The 19046-nt window shown below is 48.4% G+C and overlaps 1 protein-coding gene across 13 annotated transcripts in view, besides 3 other annotated features; it reads right to left on the reverse strand.

Annotated features, from left to right (window-relative positions):
• The window catches only part of PLEKHA6 (pleckstrin homology domain containing A6), a 159316-nt gene that overhangs the window by 102169 nt on the left and 38101 nt on the right, over nt 1-19046 (reverse strand). The gene's annotated exons all lie outside the window — the stretch shown is intronic.
• Nucleotides 864-1363: an enhancer, noted in NCBI's record as "H3K4me1 hESC enhancer chr1:204291013-204291512 (GRCh37/hg19 assembly coordinates)". NCBI's record gives its function as "activates a minimal SCP1, AML or CMV promoter by ChIP-STARR-seq in primed H9 embryonic stem cells {active_cell/tissue: H9 hESC(primed)}" and the evidence as "EXISTENCE:reporter gene assay evidence [ECO:0000049][PMID:30033119]".
• Nucleotides 15522-16305: an enhancer, noted in NCBI's record as "NANOG-H3K4me1 hESC enhancer chr1:204305671-204306454 (GRCh37/hg19 assembly coordinates)". NCBI's record gives its function as "activates a minimal SCP1, AML or CMV promoter by ChIP-STARR-seq in naive H9 embryonic stem cells {active_cell/tissue: H9 hESC(naive)}" and the evidence as "EXISTENCE:reporter gene assay evidence [ECO:0000049][PMID:30033119]".
• Nucleotides 17090-17873: an enhancer, noted in NCBI's record as "H3K4me1 hESC enhancer chr1:204307239-204308022 (GRCh37/hg19 assembly coordinates)". NCBI's record gives its function as "activates a minimal SCP1, AML or CMV promoter by ChIP-STARR-seq in primed H9 embryonic stem cells {active_cell/tissue: H9 hESC(primed)}" and the evidence as "EXISTENCE:reporter gene assay evidence [ECO:0000049][PMID:30033119]".

Here is a 19046-nt window from a genome sequence, read left to right on the forward strand (position 1 = left end):
GAGGTCCAGGCTCAATCACACTAGGCTCTTTAAATGGACAAGGCTGTTGTTTCGGGTCAGAATATGGAATAGTGTTACCCAGAGGCCATGGCTGCCCACAAGGATGGTAGAGGGAGTCAGGCAACATCACCAGGACTGTCCACTACATAAAGCACCACTCAGGGGAAGCCAAAGGCACTGAACTCTCATTCTGACCTCACAGCTAACATGCTGTGCACCCTCAGGCAGGCTACAAGCCTCTCTGATCCTCAGAATCCTGAGGATCTGCACATGACCATAAGGATGGGAGCAAGGAGAGGAAAGGACGCAAATTGATTGTGCCCCATGTCTGCTTATAACTTTTAAAGGATTAAGTTCAGCCTCCTGTGTAGGGCTGTCAAGGCTTTTCACAGGCTGGCCCACCTTCCAGCCTCCCCTACTGCCCCCCTGCAGTGCACTCTGTGCTCCAGCCTCTGACTCTGCTGATCTAGTTCCGGCGCCCATGCTTCCTCCTGCATCTCAGCCTCTGTGCATGCTGTTTCTTCTGCTGGAACCTCAACCCTTCCACCCTACCCTTCCCATACTTTAAGGTTCAACCTAAACCTGACCCTACAGCCACTTTTTACTTCCACCCAGGCAGTCTTCCTCCCTCTGTGTTTGCAAACCACTCTGTGCATCTGATCTTATTTTTCTTCATCCTTTGTTTACAAGTGTGTCTCCCCTGCTAGACTGTGAAACGGAAAGGACAAGGACCATGTCAAATGCATCTTTCATTCAACAAGCATTTAATAAATGTCTGCTGTGTGTCTGCCAGAATAGAAAGGAGAAAAGGGCAGACTCAGTCGGCTGGCCCCAGTGCTTAAGGCAGTGCAGGCCCAAGTGGGCCCAGCCTGCTGCTGAGTCAGGAAAGGCAGGCCCAGGAGCTGCCCCTGGGGCTCTGGCAGGGCATGCTCTGCCTTCTCTCCCTTAGCAGGAGACTAAAAAATATTGAGAAGAAACTAAAAACATAAACCACCACCACTTGTGGAGCAGTTTACCATGTGCTATGTAGCCACTGTTATCTATACCTTAGCTAGTCCTCGAATTAACTCTTTGGCAAAAATCTTTGTTACTCTGACTTCATATATGAGAAAAGTGGTGCCCAGAGAGGTTAGGAAGCTTTCTTAATATCAATACAGAGGCAGCAGAGCTTGCACAGGACCTCAGGTCCGTCTGAACCCGCCCCCCTACACACACCCCTTTAGTCTCATGCTGCCCAATTTAACACACTAACAATGAGCGCCTATTTGTGCCCAGACTCCTTGTTTAAGGGGAGGAAATGATGATCTATTCACCTCAAGGCTCTAAACTGGATGACTTTAGTCCTAGCTGCCCCGGCATCCTTCTGGAAGTTCTCTGTGCCCTTGCTTTCCACCGCAACAGAAGTTCTCAGGACTCTTAATGAGCCACACCAGCTCCCTGGCGTGACTTGGGAAGCCAGTGGGGTCGCACAGCAGGCTGCTGCCATCCAGCTTTTGCCACCTTCAAAGTGCCATTAGTGGACAATAGAAACTGGCTGCTTAGCCGGTGGTCTCAGGCAGTCCCAGGCCCCCATAGCTTCAACCGCTGTCACTATTATCCAGAGCTATCAGCCGCTGGGATTCTTTCCTTAATGGGCAGGCAGCAGATAATGGGCCTCCTGTGGTCTACTCTGCACCAGCCATAATCACACTCCTCACACATGCTCCTCCACATTCCCCCAACCAAGTGTTTACTCTCTCAAAACCCAATTGTAGCTACTGCCCATGTAAACTCCTATCCTACTCCTTTTATTCTGGGGACCACTCTTCCCACCCCAACCAAGCTAACTGGCCCTACGCATTTTGCAAATTCCCTTCTTGTCCCATGGCGTATCATTCTGTGGATGCAAGGTCTTCCCAACCTAAATCTAAGTCATCTCTTCCAGGAAGCCCTCCCTGATAGACCATGCCCAAACCTGACCTTCCCTTTGCTTTGCATTTCCTTGGAACTTAATGCCTTCCCCGCTTTTACATTGGTTAGAGCCATTTATGTCACATTTATTCATTTGACAAACATTTGCTAAGGGTCTACAGCTATGTGGCAGGCATTAACTGTGTATCTACTATGTGCCACAGCACACTGTGCTAGGCCCTGACACTCAGTGCCCTCCGGGAGCTTGCACTCATGTTAATTATCTTCAGAGCCTTGCCTGGGGGAGGCCCCCCTCTGCACTTAGATGGGGCACTCTCCCAAGGACTGTCTTCTCTTTGCTCCATCCTAGCACCTGACATTTAATAGGTCTTTTGCATCGTTATCTCATCTTATCTCCGCAGCACCCCTCAAGGTAGGATGGAGACACTGAGGCTCAGAAAAGATGAAGCAACCTGTCCAATAGATCCCAGCTGGTTACCAGCTGAATCATCAATAGAAATTCAGGTCCTCTGACTCCCAAGGCAAGTGGCCTTTGCCCCACAACATGCAGACTAGGATCACTGAGAGCTAGATGGGACCAAAGTGATGACTTCTCAACTGCTGTCACAGCCAAATGGACATTTCGGAAGAAAGAAAGCTAATGTGAAATTAGAGGGCATTATAAACTGCTTGTGTAACTGGAAAGCTTCAACAAGGTTGTACTTGTATTCCTGGTGCATAATAGGTGCTCAGTATGTGTTTGTCAAATGAATAAACAGCTTACTAGAGAGGTAAATGGCAGAGGGTGTAAGCTACCTAGTATTATAATAATAGCTATCTATTGAGTGCATACTTGTGTGAGGCATAATTCTAAATGCAACTCATTTGATCTTCACAACAGCCTTTTGAGATGGTTGTTGTTATGACCTCTGTTTTAAGATGAGGAACCTGAGACAAAATCAGGTTAAATATCCTGCTTGAGGATGGAGTGGCAGGACTTGGAAAGGACCTGGGCAGACTGACTCCAGAGCTGTGCTCTTCAAGTTAGCCCAGTACAGTTCATCCATGAGATCACTCAATTCTAATTACAAGCATACTGAGTGAGTGTTCTGATGAGTGCTGAGTGAGACCTGAAGTCACACTTCTGCCCTGGGCCCCAAGGTTCTGCTTGAGTCTGCATGAGTCACTCCTAGCTATGATGAAGTGCAGTAAAAGTCCAGCCAGTAGGGATGTGTTTCAGCTGCACGAGGACTTCAGGAGCCCTCTTTGGGGTCCACATCCCAGAATCTGACTTTGATTGCTCTGACTTTGATTGCCAGGCATCCCTGGTAAGAGTCAGGGCTATGGATCGTGAAGGGATTTTGAAGATGGAAGGAAATTTTTAGTATCTCAAAGGCTGAAGTAGAGGATAGAATAGGGTTTGTCACTGGGCACAAAGACATGCTGAAAAGATTTATAAATAGGATAAAGAAAGGGGCCTCAATGAATAAGCCCTTTATGGGATAGGATACGAAGGGCAGGGCTGGGCAATAGGAAACTCCAGCTCTGGCTACTTTGCAGCCCCCATTAGAGAGGCAGCTCGTGATGAGACAGAAATGTCTCACCATCAATAAGACAAGGAAAGGAACCAAATGAAGAGAACTTAGAAACAGTTTTCTCTGAGGTTGAGTTTCTCTGACAAAGTCTTATCTGAGAGGGATACAATTCAGAAGAAATGAGTGAAAGTGGAGAGACTATTCCAGAAGTCACAAAAGCTGAAGGCTTTATGTCTAAAGGTGCTGAATTGGAAGTCGATTAGGATCCTGGTGTTTTTATCTGACCTGAGGCCAATAGCTTACTAAACCTTCCATAGATATCAGTTTCTCCATTCATTAAAAGGGTATTGGGTCACCTGTTTGTGTCTTTGTCCTTTGGCTTAGGGACTGTGTTGGATAAAGGAGACTGGAGATCACATGATGCCTGAGTTACTTAGAAGAGAGGAGATGCAGGAATACAGAATTTTATTTATTTATTTATTTATTTTTGAGATGGGGTCTCACTTTGTTGCCCAGGCTGGAGTGCAGTGGCGTGATCTCAGCTCACTGCAAGCTCCACCTCCCAGGTTCACGCCATTCTCCTGCCTCAGCCTCCCAGGAATACAGAATTTGATCAGAGCTTTCAGCAAGGGAGAGGCAGGAGCCACCTCCACACTGTACTTCAGTTACCCCAATTGCATTTAGAGAGATGCAACTATTTTGATTGTCTTAGAGCTCCTGAGAGATAGGAAAGTCTAGTGTCAGGCACCTTGGGTAGGCAACGTTACTTCCCAGTTATCTACAAGTTCAGCTCTCTGGGGTCAGCCCATAGAAAACGAATGCCAGGAAGAAATGTTTCCTGCAATTAAAGCAATAAAGAGAAATGCAAACTGGGTTTAGAGGGCTGCCAGGGGGAGAATCCTTAGGGACATGGTGGTCAACTGTCCCAGTTTGCCCAGGACTTTCAGTGCTCAAACCGGGACAGTCTCAGGCACACTGAGAAAAATTGGTTGTCCTACCAAAGAACTCACGTAAATAAATATCTGGTTTGACAAAGAACCAATGGGCACCACATGAGATCTTCATGCTCAGAAATATTGAGAGCTCAGGTCCCAGGACTAGGAGCCCGAATGCCCAGCTGCCTGCTTGGTGAGCCCTCAGCACACACGTTACTGTGGGCAAGTACCTGCCTCGCTGGGCTTTGGTTCCTCTATAAGATCTGGATGGGTTTTCCTTCCTATCTGGAAGACAAAATCCTATTAGAAACTTCTAAAGGTGCTCAGGACCCTGAGCCCTGAGAAAGTTCCTTATTGGTGGCTTCTTAGAGTAGCCTGTGAACAAACCCAGGAGGCCTTGGCGCAAGACTCTACTCTGCCTGTCCCTAAGGTCACTTAGTCCTGCAGAGATCTCAGGGCCCAGGCGAACAAGGGGTGGAAGGGCAGCATGGGGAGAAGTAGTAGCTGCCATTTCCAGGCTGCCAAAGCCAAGCACCGCTGGGCTGCCATTAACATATAGACTGGGCTGAACACAAAAGGGGCAGAGTCCCTCTGCCCACAGCAAGCCCCATTCCTCACCCTGCCCAGCCGTCTCCCTAATGCATCCAGCACAGGGAGCCATGCTTCCCCTGGCTTGAGACCACTTAATTTTCTCCTAAGCTGCTTTGTGAGGCAGGCTCTGAGCACTCCACGTGTCCAGTCCTGCTGTGGCCAACTTTCTCCATGGCTGAGGGCAGCTCCAGTTCCATGCCCCCTTCTGCCAGCTGAAACAGAGCCCGGCTCCAACAGTGCCCTTCAGTTTGTGAAGACCAGAGGGCACAAGTAGACACTCAGCTCCTCTCTCCCTTAGACCCAACCAGCCAGGAGAGTGAAGCTTCTCCCTCCTGCCTGTGCCAACACACGGTCACGTCTTAGCTCATCAAATGTTCTATCAGTGCCCACTATGTGCAAAGCACTGGCAAAGAAACAGAGACAATCGAGACCCATATTCAGAACCCAAAAAGGGCCATGAGAGCACAGATAGACAGAGGCTTCCCAGCTCTCATTCTAACAAGACTTTGCATGGCTGCCCCAGTCCATGCCACCTCCCAAACCCAAGTGAGCACCACAGAGGCATGGAGACAAAAGAGAAAGAAGAGAACCAAAAGCCTGGTTAATTAATTCACAAAGCAGTGCTCCAGGTGATAGATCATTGAGCCTTACACCCTCTCACAACACATTTCTAGCAAATAATTTTTGCTGTCCAAGCCCTAAATCTGACTGCTAGGGATTAAGCTAGAGAATTAAGAGTCGGAGGATAAATGTAATCAAACCCCTTTCCTTCTCCTTGGTTGGTTGGTTCATTCATTCATTCCATATATATTTTATGAGTGCCTTCTGTGTGCCAGTATGGAGCTCAGCACTAGGACTTGACCTCACTCAGCATTCACTGCCTTTCATCATCCTTAGACTAGCTCCCTCCTTCCTATATGATCCAAATAGGGTGAGGAACTGCTCACTGCCCAAACCCTGGGGCCTCCGCACTTAGGCAGGGAGTGGTCCAGGCAGAAGCGCGCTGGGTACGGCAGCCTCTGTAGTAGGGATTTGTGGACAAAGCAGCTACTTGGGTTTCAGCCTCTCCCCAGTCTCTCTCCATCCCCTCCTCCTCCTCCTGGGATAGAAACCCTGCCACTCTCTGCTCACATGCTTGAGTCACAAGGCTGAACTCCCAGCAAAAGAAGTAGCTCAAGGATGTAACAGGCGCGAGCCCAGTGAAACAGAAATACAGTATTTCATTTTGTTCACTTTGCACCATTCTTCCTCGTTTAATGCCCAAGAAAGCAGTACCAGGGCTTCCTGCTTGTTTGTCCTTCCTACCTCTCCCACCCACCTGGCGCTGAGGCCTCACTCCTGATTTATCCCCAGCTCCATTCCTTTCTGTCTCCCTCTCAAGGCCCACAGAGGGTGTCTTGTGTCTCTAGTGCCCCACATGTGGAGAGGTACAGGAAGTAGACAGCGATAAGGAACTAGCACAGGGCAAGTGAGCCTTGATGCCGACGGGCCCCTTCTGGGAGCCCCTTCTTGGCCTGCAGTCTCTGGCCCGCTGAGGCCCAGGAGAGCGCTGAGAGCCCCGTCGTTGATTGGCACCTTGCAAGCAGACTTCCTCATCTGTCCATGCACGTTGTGGTGTCCAATGGTCTAACTGCAGATTTCCATCTCTGATCTGCATGGGCAGATGGGCGAGCGCTGTGCCAGGCCCCAGGGGACCACAAGCTCCTGGGGAGGAGGCACAGCCACCTGGCTCTCTAGACCAAGGACTCAGGGGGCCTGTCTCAAGGGCAAGAGACAGCCCAGGCCTCCAAAAGGGAAAAATACAAGAGCAAGTATAAGCCAAACCCCAATCCTCTCTCCTTTCTTCTCACTTGCTCCCATTCCTAAGGAAAGGACAGGGCAGGTATCAGAGAGCTGGGATGGCTGGCTTTCCTTTCCCATTTGAGGCATATCCTCTGACTCACTGTGTTTCTGAAAGCCAGTTCCCTGACTTCTCTGGATAAAACCTCATTATTCTCAAAATTAGAGCTGGAGCCCTGGCTGCTTTCTGATGACCCTGGCTGGGATAAAAAGGAAAGAAGCTGCTTTTATTTATTTTATTTATTTATTTATTTATTTATTTATTTATTTATTTATTTATTTATTTTTGAGACAGAGTTTCACTCTTCTTGCCCAGGCTGGAGTGCAGAGGCGTGATCTCGGCTCACCACAACCTCTGCCTCCTGGGTTCAAGGGATTCTCCTACCTCAGCCTCCTGAGTTGCTGGGATTACAGGCATGCACCCCCACGCCCAGCTAATTTTGTATTTTTAGTAGAGACGGGGTTTCTCTATGTTGGCCAGGCTGGTCTCAAACTCCCGACCTCAGGTGATCCTCCCGCCTCGGCCACCCAAAGTGCTGGGACTACAGGCGTGAGCCATTGCACCCAACCCACAGTCAATTTTCTTTCTTTTTTTTTTTTTTTAGACAGAGTTTCGCTCTTGTTGCCCACGCTGGAGTGCGATGGCACCATCTCGGCTCACTGCAACCTCTGCCTCTCGGGTTTCCCTGCCTCAGCCTCTGAGTAGCTGGGATTACAGGCATGCACCACCATGCCTGGCTAATTGTGTATTTTTAGTAGAGATGGGGTTTCTCCATGTTGGTCAGGCTAGTATCAAACTCCCGACCTCAGGTGATCCGTCAGCCTCAGGCTCCCAAAGTGCTGGGATTACCGGCTTGAGCCACTGTGCCCGGCCTCACAGTCAACTTTCAATTGTCTGCTGCTACTCTGTCCCTGTGCAGTGTCTGCACAGTCTTGCAGCTAGATACTAGATTGCTATGAGTAGATGATTTCAAAATAACAATAGCTGACATTTGTTGCACATCTACTATATCCCAGGCACTGTGCTGAGCTCTTTGTTTATATCATCTCACTTAATATTCATAACAACCTTATAAGGCTGGATAGAAACTAATGTGGAGAGAAGTTAGCTAGCTTGCCCAAAGCCAAACAACTAGACAGTGGTGGAGCCACAGTCCGCAGCCAACCCAGCTGACCTCAAAGCTCCACTCTTACCCTCTGTGTTGCACTACTTCTTGTGTGTGTATGTTTTGTAGACTGTAAGCTATTATTATAGAGTTATTGTTAGGTCACTGATAGTAGAAAGAGCCTGGGGTGATTAGAGGGGATAGTTGGGAAAGATTTGTGTCTGAGCATTAATTTGATTAAACATGGCTGAATTGTATTTCAGAGCTAACTGGAAAAGTTATTTGGAATGTTTCAGGCTCTGACTCCCTCCATCAGTACGAAGACTTAAAACATGACTGGAAAGCAATGCAAAGGACTCTTTCCAGGACCTTCAACCTGGCCTTCATGGGGCCCATGTCTTACCAGTCCACAGGGAAGCCAGAACAGGTGGGAGTGGGCCATCCTATTGCCATCCCAGAGCCTCTACCACAACACCTCCCAGAGAAGGGCCTCTTTCCAAAGCAAAAGATCGCTTACTGTGAGATCAAAGAAGCAACGTCTAATTAGAGAGTCATTAATAGGCAATTAGCCTGTAATGGATTAATGGAGCTAGGCAAAGATCATCTAGGCTGCCAATATCACACAAAAAAAGAGACAACCAGACATCGTGTGCCTCCTGATAGATGTGCATACCACGAATGGATTCTTGCCTCTGTCCCACAAATAAGTAAATTAAAGGAACCTGAATTTGATTAAGCCCTAAATCTAACTACATTTACAGGAACTACAGGGACAGCATAACATGTTAAATGACACGATGAGGATGCAATCAGCCAAATCCAGAACGTGAAAAACTCTACAGGACAATCACCCAAGCTGCATGCAGTGACTCATTGTCTGTAATCCCAGCTACTGGAGTGGCCAAGGTGGGCAGATCACTTGAGGCCAGGAGTTTGAGACCAGCCTGGGTAACAAAGTGAGACCCTGTCTCAAAAAAAAAAAAAAGAGAAGACATATAATCCAGTTTCTTCAGAAGAGAGAGAGAGAACACCTACAGATTAGGAGTGATTTAAATGCTATAATGACCAATCACAGTGAATGGACCTGATTTGGATCCAAATTTAAAAGAACACTAGAAAAAAATATATATATAATCAGGGAAATATAAACAGTAACAGGACAGTTGATTACATTAAGGAATTGTTCATTTTGTTTAGGTGTGATCATATTTTGGTATTTTTCTTAGAGTCCCTATCTTTACACTTGATCTTAGCCAAAAAGCTGCAAGGTGGGGTTTTACCATGTTGGGCAGGCTGGTCTGAAACTCCTGACCTCAGATGATCTGCCCGCCTTGACCTCCCCAAGTGCCGGGATTACAAGCATGAGCCACTGCACTCAGCTGGAAGTCCCTTTCTTTAGAGATGAAATATTCAGCTGTCTAGGATTTGCTTCAAAATTGTCAGAGGGCAGAAAGGACCAGGAACATACTTGAAAGAAGACTGACTAAGAGAAGACTTCAAAACCACTGAAGCTTGGGCACATTGGTGTTATTATAGCAGTCTCTCTACTTTTGTGTATGCTTGATTCTCTAATAAAAAGCTTTAAAAATATAAATCAGACCCTACAGATTAGGAGTAACTGTGCTAGGCGATAGTGCAATAAACTCCTCTAAGCTGGCCAGGCCTCTGGAGGTCCTGCTCTGGAGAACTTGTAGAGAGAACCCTCAGGCTGTTCTTCCCTTCCCAGCAGAACAACTGTGACAAGTTAGAGCTCACTTTCTATAGCCAGATCCCCTCAGAGCCTTTGACAGAGGTAGAGCCAGTGCTACCGAAGAGGAAGCAGCCCTCCCAAGGCCCCACCATGAGGTTGTGGAGGAGCTTCATTCTGTCTTTCGATGTGAAGCACCCCTCCTTCCCTAGATCACCCTGGCTCAGAGCCGAAAACAAACAGCATCTCCAGCCTCATACTGAGTTTGGCCTTTCAGTACCCTGGGTTCTGGAAAGAACAAGCATCTCGGCCAGGCACGTTGGCTCACGCCTGTAATCCTAGCACTTTGGGAGGCCAAGGCAGGCAGATCACCTGAGGTCAGGAGTTCGAGACCAGCCTGGCCAACATGACGAAACCCCATCTCCACTAAAAATACAAAAAAATTAGCCATGCATGTTGGCGGCGCATGCCTCTAATCCCAGTTACTCTGGAGGCTGAGGCAGGAGAATCACTTGAACCAAGGAGGCGAAGGTTGCAGTGAGCTGAGATCATGCCACTGCACTCCAGCCTGGGCATCAAAGTGAGACTCTGTCTCAAAAAAAAAAAAAAAAAAAAAGGAATGAGCATCTCAGCCAAGCAGCACCTGCAGCAACTGATCAAATGCCTTGTTGCCTTTCTGCCTGCATTAGGTAGGTACCAGAAGTGGGAAACAGGAAGAAGAAAGGAGGCAGAAGGCGTGGGAAGAACAAGAACACAGAAGAGCTAAGCACCTAAGTCCATGCTGCAGCCCAGCCCAGCCCAGCGACCCATGCTACAGCCAACCCCACCTTGGGCAAACAGCTGGCACCTCCCAGGCTGCTTCCTCCCTTAACACTTCCTGGTGCTACTGATCCCAGAGCTCTTGGGAGAGAAGAGAAGAACATTCTGGAGGAAAGAGAATTGGTGGAAAAGGGGACAGAGAGTTCAGAAGGGACACGATGAATATTCAGTTTTTAGAGAAGTCCTTTGGAAGGGAGAACATAGAAGGTGAGAGAATCATGCTTGGCCTATTTCAGAGCTCAAATTTGCCAAGTAAATAATGAGTAAAAGGGAGAAAAGAGAAAAAGAGAAAGGAAAAAGAAAGCAACTGTAAGGAGTGAGGGAAGAAAGATGGAGAGGGCAGTGTTAGAGAGGCCCCTGGGAACATGGAAACTGAGTCAACGGTCAGCCGGCTGTCCCCCCCGGGTCCCAAAGCCCCATGCCCCTAGAGTCACCCAGCCGTCCCCCCGTCCTCAAAGCCCCATGCCCCGAGAGGCCCCAGTGTCCATCCCAGCCCACTTTGCTCAGAGGGAGCCTCCCCTTACCAGCCTAGAAAGGTGTGCAGGAGCCGGGGTGCAAACACACCTCATGCCCAAACGCTTCCTTTCCTAACTCCTGGCAGCCTGCTCCAGGAAGAGAGACAAGTGGACTAATCCACCTGCCTCCTGAGGGGCGGAGTGCTGGGAGGAAGCACCACCTCAGACCAATCAAGGAGCCAAAAGGAGCCTGCCCTAGCTCACCCTTTGCCGGCATGTTGCTGCAGGGGACAGAGGGTTAACCCAGAATTCAGCCAATGTGCTTGTTCCATATTCATGCCCACGCTGGGAAGTCACAAGATGGCCAAGGCACAGCTGCCTGCAAGCCACGCCACCTCCCACCTCCCCACACTCACTGATCTTCAGGGACCACAGGGCCTGAGGTTACCTCTGAATCAACCCATGCCAAGCCAGGCAGGCAGGCATCAGTCCTCACTGTTTGTTTTTTTTTAAGACAGAGTCTCGCTGTGTCACCCAGGCTAGAGTGCAGTGGCACGATCCATCTCGGCTCACTGCAACTTCCACTTCCCAGGTCCCGGTTCAAGCAATTCTCCTGCCTCAGCCTCCTGAGTATTTGGAATTACAGGAACGCGCCACCATGCCCAGCTAATTTTTGTATTTTTAGTAGAGATGGGGTTTCACCATGTTGGCCAGGCTGGTCTTGAACTCTTGACCTCGTGATCCACCCACTTTGGCCTCCCAAAGTGCTGGGATTACAGGCGTGAGCCACTGCGCCTGACCCAGTCCTCACTCTTTAGGCACTAAGGAAACAGGCCAACAAGTCCCTCGCTGAAGGTCAAGGGACCTCAAGACTAATCCCGGCAGCAGTCCCAACTCTGAAACTCAAATCCTGGCTCTGCCCCTTGCTGGCTGCATGACCTAAGGCAAGCTACTCAGTGCCTCCAAGCCTCAGTTATAAAGTCACTGTGATTCTTTCCCTCAGCCTGCACTTCCAGAAAGATGAGAGTGTGCATAGAAGGAAAAGTGCTCTGAGCTCTCAGTAGAAAAGACGCTCTATAAATGCAGAGTATCATTATCATAAACGAAAGTTCCTGCCCCACCTAGGGAGGAGGAGGCAGGTTTCTGTTAGGCTCTGCAATGCCTCCGCCAAATGAGGATAAGGCAAACGACAAACTAAGCCAGAGAAGACCCAGGCCCCCAGGCCTCGGGCACCCTGCCCAGGAGAGCCAGAGGCCCCCAGCTCCACCAGGCGGGAAATGAAAACTGGCTGAGTGAACAGAGTGAGGAAGAAGGGGAAGGAAGGGACAGGGGCAGGGAGGAATGATCTGGCCCTGGCATTTGTGTTTGTAGGATGACTAGGGTTTCTCTTACCCTCCAGGGCTTTGCCCAAAGCAAAGTGGCTTGGAGGAGCAGGCAATTCCCACCCCAAAGGCCCCTTCTTTACTCTACTGGGGAGGAAGCTGTGGGCTGCAGAAACTTCCAAGAGAAAGTACAGCTCAAGCCCAGGACTCCAGTTCTCTGCCTCTCCTAAGAACAATAACAATATTAATAATAATCTCTGACATTTGCATAGCGTTTTACACACATTGACTATTTTTCATTGCAGCTTCACATAACCCAAAGGAAGCACTATATTATCATCTCTCCTTCTCAGCTGATTTAAACAGTTAGAGCTCAAAGGGGATAGTGAATGATCTGAAGTTACACATCCTTAGGGAAGTGTCAAAGCCAGCTGGGAACCCAAATCTTTGACTCTCCAGCTCAGAGCTCTCTCTCACCCGCTTCAGCAGGCCAGGCCTCAGCTTGCAGGGAAGGGGGAATCCTGCAGCCCAGGTCCTGCTCTCTGGGAGGAACCTCCTGGCCCCTGCTCTCCAGCTGCCCTGGGGGAGAGCTCCTTCTCAGGCTATGCAGTTAGCAACCCACTTCCAGACCGGGCAAGTTCAGTGGCTTCAGTCCAAGGTTTCATTAGCAAAAAACTCCCTCAAAAACAAAAAACGTCCATTCTTTATGCTCCTGATCATTGACAAGCTTTCCTAATCAGCCTATTTAAAATGGTAAGGTCCCTCTGAGGTTGGGAGCTCTGAGGAGGCCTAGCCTTGCACTATTTGTCCCCAGGTCTTGAACACAACAGCCAAGGGTAATATGAAAGCAGGGGTGGCAAGGAAGAGAATCCCATTTCTAGAACCTGCTCTGGGGGAAGTCCTGGGATGGGATGATATACAAGTGCAGTAAGGACAGATATGCTTCGGTCCAGGTGCCTGGAAAAGCTCCCCTGTGGTGAACATGCTTCTGGGCAAGGGATGAAGGCAGACAGCATAGCTAACCCTCCATCACAGCGGGAGAGCCAAGGGTGGCAGGGAGAGGCAACAAGATGAGTGGGACGCAAAGCCTTTGTATCCTGCTCAGTCAAACCTCAAATCTTTGTCCTAAGAGAGGGAGTCAAAGACTCTGACCCTCCACACAACTTTCCTAATTACCTATGACATACATTTGTGCTCCTCATAAGATCACCACGGAGGATGGTTCTGGGGCTATCATTCCAAACTTGGTCTTTTTCTATTTGATAAATAATGATTGCATCTATTTATGGGGTAAAATGCGATGGTTTGATACATGTATACATTGTGAAATGATCAAACTAGGCTAATTAATATATCTACCACTTCACATATTTATCATTTCTTTGTGGTGAGAACATTTAAAACCTACTCTTGACAGGGCGCAGTGGGTGGTTCATGCCTGTCATCCCAGCACTTTGGGAGGTCAGGGTGGGTGGATCACTTGAGGTCAGGAATTCGAAATCAGTCTGGCCAACATGGTGAAACCGCATCTCTACTGAAAATACAAAAATTAGCCGGGCGCGGTAGTGCACACCTATAATCCCAGTTACTTGGGAAGATAAGGCACAAGAATAGCTTGAACTCAGGAGGTGGAGGTTACATGAGCCAAGATTGCACTACTGCACTCCAGCCTGGGTGACAGAACAAGGCTCTGTCTAAAAAATAAAATAAAATAAAATAAAACCTACTCTTTTAGCAATTTAAAAATATAATTTATTATTATATTATTATTAACTATAGTCACCATGCTGTGTAATAGATCACCAGAATTTATTCCCCTTGTCTAACTGAAACTTTGTACCCTTTGACCAATGTCTCTTCCTTCCCCATCCACACCCCATCTCCTAGTTTCCACTAAAGGACTTGATCTGGATGAGATCACCTATCCAAGAAACAGACAGCGGCACTTTCCCACTGGATGCTTTCCTTCCCCTTGGCCTCCCAAGGGTTAACCTGCAGATAACAAACCCCTGCCCCCACCACTTCCCCCCACACACATACACAATCTCTCCCATTCCCCACCAATCCAGGAAAGCAGAATGGCTCAGGCAGCTGGGCAGGGGGGTGTTTAGCTTGGCCTCAGCCCAGCACTGCAGACAACTCCTCTCAACATATAGACAGCCAGGCTGGCTCCCTTGGACCAAGTCCCTCCCTTCCTTCCCCAGCAGAGAAAGGCCCTGGAGAAGGCCCCTCCTGGAGTAGGGGACAGGGAGGGAGGCTGCACTTCAGGGCTAGAGAAGAGTCTGAAGGGGATCCCATCTCTCAAAGGCATCTTTACGCCGCAGTGGCCGCTGCACCTCTCCCTGCTCTTTGCCAGAGCAACTGGGTTAAGGCAAGAAGACATTGAGGGAACACCATGCAGCCCCCAGCTCCAGGACTGGCAGTGCCAGGGAGATGATGCCAGTTTTGACAAGCAGAGACAAAGGTGACCTTGGGAGAAAGCAGACAGACAAGGAGTCATGTCATTCCCTCCCCTTTTCTGTCTGGGCAGTAAATGCTGAGCCCCGGGGGAGTGAAAGGGCCAGCTGCTCTGAGCTGGGCTGTGGAGGATGACAGTGTCCATGTGGCATGGGCAGGGCACATCTGTACCTGTCTTTGGACCCAGACCCCATAGCTTTGGCTCTGCCACAGCCCCTGTCACCTCATCTCAATAACTTTGATAGCCAGCAAATAATTCTGCCATGTCACCTTTAAGAGAAGCCTCTAAAGTGTTCCAGGGCACATGCCCCTACATAAGGGGGTGGCCCAATGTAAACTTCTCTAGTGTCAAGAAGGGCTTTGTAAGGGTCCTGTACCTAATTCCATCTGGTCTTCTTCTGTCTCCAGTCACCAACTCTACCCTAAGACACAGGTCCCCAACCACACCCACTGAGCCCCCAAAACAGCTCTCAGTGCGGCATCCTAAACCCTCATCACCAACCAATCTTCCCTGTCCATGACACTGCCTTCAGACTGCAGATTAAACTGGTCCAGCAACCCACCTGCACCAAGTCATCCCCAGTCCTGTTGCCCTTGAGATGACAGGGTGCCTCTACCTCTGGTCTGGTCTCCCTGCTCCCCGCAAGTGACAATCCAATCATGCCCTGGCTCACAAACCTGCAGTGCTTCTCTACTGTCTGCAGGATGGAGGCTTGAAATGCAAGGTCTTTTACAATCCAGCCCCAACTTATTTATCCAATACGATCTTCTGCTACCACTGTACAACTGAAAGCATAGATTTGCTGTGAGTGATACAAGTCACTGGTGCCACAGGAATTCAGCGGAAGGAGAGGTTAGTTCTAGCTGAGGCCATCAGGGCAGACCTCCTGAAAGAGGTGTGTGAGCGTGTGTGTGTGTGTGTGTGTGTGTGCACGCACATACATACACTGGGGAAAATACTTAGATCATGCACTAGGCCAACTTGCATACTGCCCAGCTTGCATTCTGCCCTCCTCCTCCCTGCCTTACCCTCCCATGGGCTTGTAAGCACAAAAGACATATATTTGCAAATTCACATGGATGCAGGAAATGCTTTTCCTTACTTGAAGATTTGTCAAACTCCAGGCATCCAGGTCAATGACTGGAACAGAATCACAAAAGCTAGCAACTGCCTGTGACAAGTCCCCTGCTAGGGCTGTACCAGAACAATAAAGAAAGCCAGGTCTAAAGAGGCCTCCTCCAAGGCTCTGGCAGGGCAGTTTGCTGGGAAGGCTTCCATTTTGCCTGCCCCTGAGCCCTGCTGCTCCTCCAAAGGACTAGCACTGGAAAGAAAGAAGAGCCTGAAGGCAAGGAGGAAAGAGTTTTTAAAATCTCATCTCTTTCTGGACTCCCAGACTTTTCAGTTTGAACCCTTGGAGGGAAGGGTATGAGAAGAGTTAAGAGAAACAATCCAATCTCCTCTGCCTTCTGTGATTCTGGCAACTCTATGCCATATATCAATGGCCAGGCAGGGGAGTTGGAGATGAAACTGAGTTGGGGAATGAAGGGACAGATCAGACCAGACTAGTGGACGCCTAAACCAGCCAGCTCCTCCCTTCCCAGGCAATGCTTCAGGCCAGAGAATGAGGAGACCAGAGCCAAAGGAATAAGAAGGAAGGGAATCAGGAAGCAAAAGACATAAATTGTAGCTCTCCCCAGCTCTACCAAGCAAGCCCCTTCCCAGTAGCTGCTACCTTCTTACTAGCCTACATCCTAACTCACCCGGCGAGATGTCACCATTGCAGAATCATTCTGAATGGGGCTCCTACATGCTCTGAGACAGAGCAAGACCAAAAAATGGAAAACAGAACTGAGTAGTGAAGACAACAAGTGAGCATGAGATGAGGAAAAAGAAAGAATTAATGAGCTCTCGTTGGAATTAATTTTAAAGGAGCAAACAAAAGCAATTAATGTGGAAGGGTGGAATCCCTCACCTCAGCTGCTCTAGGAGAAGCCTCCGGGGTGACTGGAGACCTGGCTGTCTGCACTGTGTTAGAAAGAAGATGGCGGTCTCTCACTTGGGGGGGGAATCCAGGGAAAATGACTCACTTGTGCTCCAGTGGAAGGGGAGGAGCAATTGGGAGGCACGTACCACAATAGTCATATGTATGCTGGTGAACAACGCACACACCCAAAGATGAGGAGGGCAAACCCGTCAACTGCGTTGCCAGCCATAAAGCATGCCAGGTGGGTAAAGTGCTTGTCAAAGCCTTGAGAACAAGAAGCCATGGCATGACAGGCAATAGGGAATGAATGCCCACTTGATGCCAAGTGCAGCCCTGGATGGCTTACAGTCTTATTTCTTTTCATCCAAACAACCCTATGAAGTATTCTTCTCTCCATTTACAGATGAGGAAACTGAGGTTCCAAGAGGTTAAGCCTACAGAAGGGAATGTGTGCCTTAAATTCCCGAAGACCTAGATTTGAATTATGGCTCCACGACTTTCTAACTAGGTGACCCAACTATGTCACTGTGCACATGTTACCTAACATTTCCAAACCTCAACTCCATCCTCTATAAAATAGGAATGCTGCTACTTACTTTCCAGCTCTACCAAGGAAGTCCCTTCCCAGTGGCTGCCACATATGTAAAAGAATGTAAAAGAATTCTTTTACATATGTGAAAGAATATATGTAAAGCTCCTAGCCTGCTCTGTTAAATGCACATACAAAGTGTGTGGCAAGTGCTTGTTCTCTTCCCACCATCCCCCGCTCCATTAAGGTCATTAGTTCATAAGAACTCATTAGTTCAACAGGAAGTGCAGTCTCAAATGTGTGAAAAAGGGGAAAGCAGATGGAATTTATGGAAGCCCTTTTCTATGCCAGGAACTTTACTAGGTCTTTAGGGTGGGGTGTTGAGATTAACAAGAAGAACATGACAGAGTCTTTGCCTTCCAAGAGTTTACAACCTAGCAAGCCAAGCCCATAAACAACTGTGAGAAGAGCCATGTGAGACAAAGGCAGATAAAGACAGGGAGACTTGTGGCTCCTGTGGGCAACCAGGGAAGGCTGAGAGATCAGATGACTTCTGAAAACGGGCAGGATTTTGGTAAATGGAAGTAAGACAGGAGCAGACTGCTTCTGTGGAAATGAAGGGGATGGGGAGAGGGACTCTCGCATGGCCTCTCCTAAGGCAGACCCCGGTAGGATGCATAGGCTACTAACCAATACATGCTTTCAGTCTTCAAGAGTGGAAGACCAAAAAGGTCTGCAGATTCTTTGCTGTTCCCTCCCATTGGGAAGTGGAGTCAATTCCCCACCCCGTGCATCCGGGCAGGCTCAGTTGGACCAGCAGCATGTAACGGACATGACTCTGTGTGACTCCTGAGGCTAGGGCATAAGAAGTCTTGCAGTTTCCACTTGGGTCTCCTGGAACGCTCTCTTGAGACATTCTGTCTTAGAACCAACCGCCTCACTGAGGGAAGTCCAAGCCACGTGGAGAGGCCACTTGTGGTGCTCAGGTTGACAGGCCCCGCTGAGCTCCCCGATGACAGCTGGCATCCTTTGCCAGACATGTGAGGAGCCTCCCTGGCAGCCCAGCCAGTCGAGCCTTCAGAGGATGGCCACGGCCGGAAATGACCCAAGCAAGGGCTACCCCTCCCCGAGCCCAGTCAACCTAGAGAACCCTGAGAGACAGGCATCAGCCCTTGTTCTCAGCCACTACATTTTGGGTGGCCTGCTATGCGGCAATACATAACCGGAACACTAAGTCTCCATCTCACCAACCTGGGCTGTTACTAGGGAAATTGGGGCAAGGATCATACTCAAAATGGATGTGAAAAGAGGTGAGAAGAAGAGGAATTGTGTGCTGGGAGAGGGAGAGGAGGGAATCAGTTAAACTTTCCCAGTAGCCTCCAGCTCCCCAAGCCCCTCCATTCTTCCCAACAGGATCCCAGATCAATATAACTTCATAATTCAATGAACCCCCAGGGAAATAACTAGGGGGAAAATCAGTACATGTAAAGACATTTATAGCAGAGCTATTCATAATAGCAACAAATTGGAAACAACCCAAATTCTCAGTAATAAGAGAAAAGCAATCCAGTAATGGAGCAACATGACAGAATTACTTATAGCTATTTAAAATGACAAATTTATAGATCATTATCATACCTGGGAGTGTTTGTATAAAATAATATTAAACAAAAAAGAAATTCATGACACAAGACACTAGCTACACATCAATTACAACTATATAAACACAGGATTACAACTATATAAACTATATTAACTGTATAAACTAATTACAACTATATAAACTATATTAACAAAGATCAGGAGGCACATGGAATAGGCATATCCTTTAACATTTGCTTACCCATTTTTAGGCAAAGTTAATTAAGCATTACTTTTTTAAAAGTACAAGTTAGA

The sequence above is a fragment of the Homo sapiens genome, chromosome 1 (assembly GCF_000001405.40).
Source record: "Homo sapiens chromosome 1, GRCh38.p14 Primary Assembly".
NCBI lineage: Eukaryota > Metazoa > Chordata > Mammalia > Primates > Hominidae > Homo > Homo sapiens.